This window comes from Homo sapiens, chromosome 5, assembly GCF_000001405.40.
Source record: "Homo sapiens chromosome 5, GRCh38.p14 Primary Assembly".
Taxonomy (NCBI): domain Eukaryota; kingdom Metazoa; phylum Chordata; class Mammalia; order Primates; family Hominidae; genus Homo; species Homo sapiens.
In genome coordinates, this window is record NC_000005.10 from 120,350,411 (window position 1) to 120,353,035 (window position 2,625).

Consider the following 2,625-nt stretch of genomic DNA (forward strand, 5'->3'; position numbering starts at 1 on the left):
CTTGGCCTCCCAAAGTGCTGGGATTACAGGCGTGAGCCACCATGCCCAGCCAATCATTTTCTTTTATCATATATTTGATTTGCATAGTTTTGTTGTGTTTTGTTTAACTTTTTGATTCTCCCCATTGCTTGATTTTCTCATAAACAGCTTTTACTATTTTAACGTAAGTTAACTAGCTTAGAATTAATGTCTAGAAAAGATAACCTTCTAAATGACTAAAATATGAATGTATTTACAGAAGGACTGCTGTGATCAGTGTTAATGGACAAAATATATGAAAAGAGTAAAGGGGTCATTGATTCTTTCTCCATGTTTTTTTTCTCATTGCATGTTTATATTTATTTCCTTGATATAGTGTTCTCGCCTGGAAGAGTCTGTCTTCTCTTTCATTGTGTACTTTGAGTATTCACAGCATATTATACCAGTGTTCTTAGGAGGCACTTGAATCTCCGTATTCTCATTACTCACAGAGAAGAAAGAACAAGAAGGTGTGGTTGAATTCTGACAAGGGACTTTCTCCTTCCTCCATTTCTCAGCTCATTACACACACACATACACACACACACACACACACACTCTCTCTCTCTCTCTCTCTCTCTCTCACTCTCTCTCTCCAATGTGTGTGGTCATCATAGAATGTTGGGAGCAGGCCCTCAAATCTGGCTATAAACTGGCCCCAAAACCGGCCATAAACAAAATCTCTGCAGCACTGTGACATGCTCGTGATGACCTTGGCGCCCATGCTGGAAGGTTGGCAGTTTACTGGAATAAGGGCAAGGAACACCTGGCCCATCCAGGGCAGAAAACCACTTAAGGCGTCTTAAACCACAAACTATAGCATAAGCAATCTGTGCCTTAAGGACATGTTCATGCTGCAGATAACTAGCCAGACCCATCCCTTTGTTTCGTCCCATCCCTTTATTTCCCATAAGCAATACTTTTAGTAAACCTTATTACTGGCTTGCTGTCAATAGATATGTGGGTAAATCTCTGTTCTGGGCTCTCAGCTCTGAAGGCTGTGAGACCCCTGATTTCCCACTCCACACTCTATGTTTCTATGTGTGTGTGTCTTTAATTCCTCTAGCACCGCTGGGTTAGGGTCTCCACAACTGAGCTGGTCTCGGCAATAGACTACAATTTTCTCTTAGCTGTGAAATCAGAAATACAGTGTTCAGAGATTTCCTTTGTGGCTCAACTTTCCCCACTGAAGTCATGTGATATGAGTCCTTATTAAGATCCTCCTCTGGAAAAGGTAATGGCCACTATCAAGAAAGTTGATGGGTTTCACTGAAGACAGCACCTACTGCTAGCGAGAAGTAAAATTAGAAAGCAGATGGTTACCTGCAAAGAAAAGGCCTAATTCAGGAAGTTAGCCAAGGCTGCTGTGCTGGTGATGTTGCCAAGACTCCCCAGTATTCTTCACAGCTGCAGGGTTCCATTAAGTTAATAGGAGACTCCTACAATGGCCAGAAATTAATTCAGTCTTTTTGTTTAGCATTGAAAGTTATACTGACTTTATCAAAGTCAAGATGCCAAGCATTAATTGAATACAATTGCCCTAGTAATGTCATAATTTCAGGATTCTGCAGTGTACCTCCACAGAGGATATGACACCTTTAAAAATATTTGGAAAAACTGTGCACACATGTGCCTACACACACACACACACACACTTAGAAGATACACATATAGGAGAGTATATATACATATATCAAGTAGGATATATATATAAATTTTTTTATATGTTTATATTTATATATTGTATATATTGTATATTTATGTATGTATGGAAAGTGCCCAAAAGAAATCATTTGATTTATGATTGTGAAGCTGACAATCAATTTATATTCTGACAAAGTGGCCATTATATTAAAATGTATCCTATATTTGTTGAATGAATGATACTAGAAGATAATGGTTTTATTATAATTTGTGCTACTATAAACAAATATAAATTGTCAATAGTTTATAACTAATTAAGCAACTAGTTAGTCTAAACAGAATGAGTATGAGCTAGAAATTATTACCACAAAGGAAAACAAAACAATAAAATGTAATTTATATAAAAGAGCTAGCCCAGAGTCACTATTTAATAAATGGTAGCTTTTGTGATAATAATGATTCTAAAGTATTTTCTTTTCAACTATTGTTTCTGTATAATACTAACTTCCGAAAAATACACTAAAGCAGTATGTACTAGAAAAACATTCTTAAGGAACTTAGTAACTACTTAATAAAAGCTGAAACAGAGTGAGAGAGTTATGTTACAAAGGATTAGAGGTAAACTGGGATAGGGAATCATCCAGGAAATGATGAACTAAGGGAATCCATTGCAACTGAGCACAAAACTTATCTCTGAATATAAGTCAAGGAAAGAAGAAAAACATAATGAGACATAGCTTTAATAACTGAAAAACAAAGAATCATACCAATTTTCCAGAAGAGACAAATACTCCCGTATCTATGCAATCCATCAGAAATTTATCTCGTATTTCTATAAATAGAACGTGCTACTTCCAGTTTGCTAGGGGCTGTTCCAATATAAAGCCTGTAATTATCTATGTAAAACTTTCTTTTTTTGTGTGTGTGTTCTCACTCATAGGTGGGAATTGGAAGGGGAACATC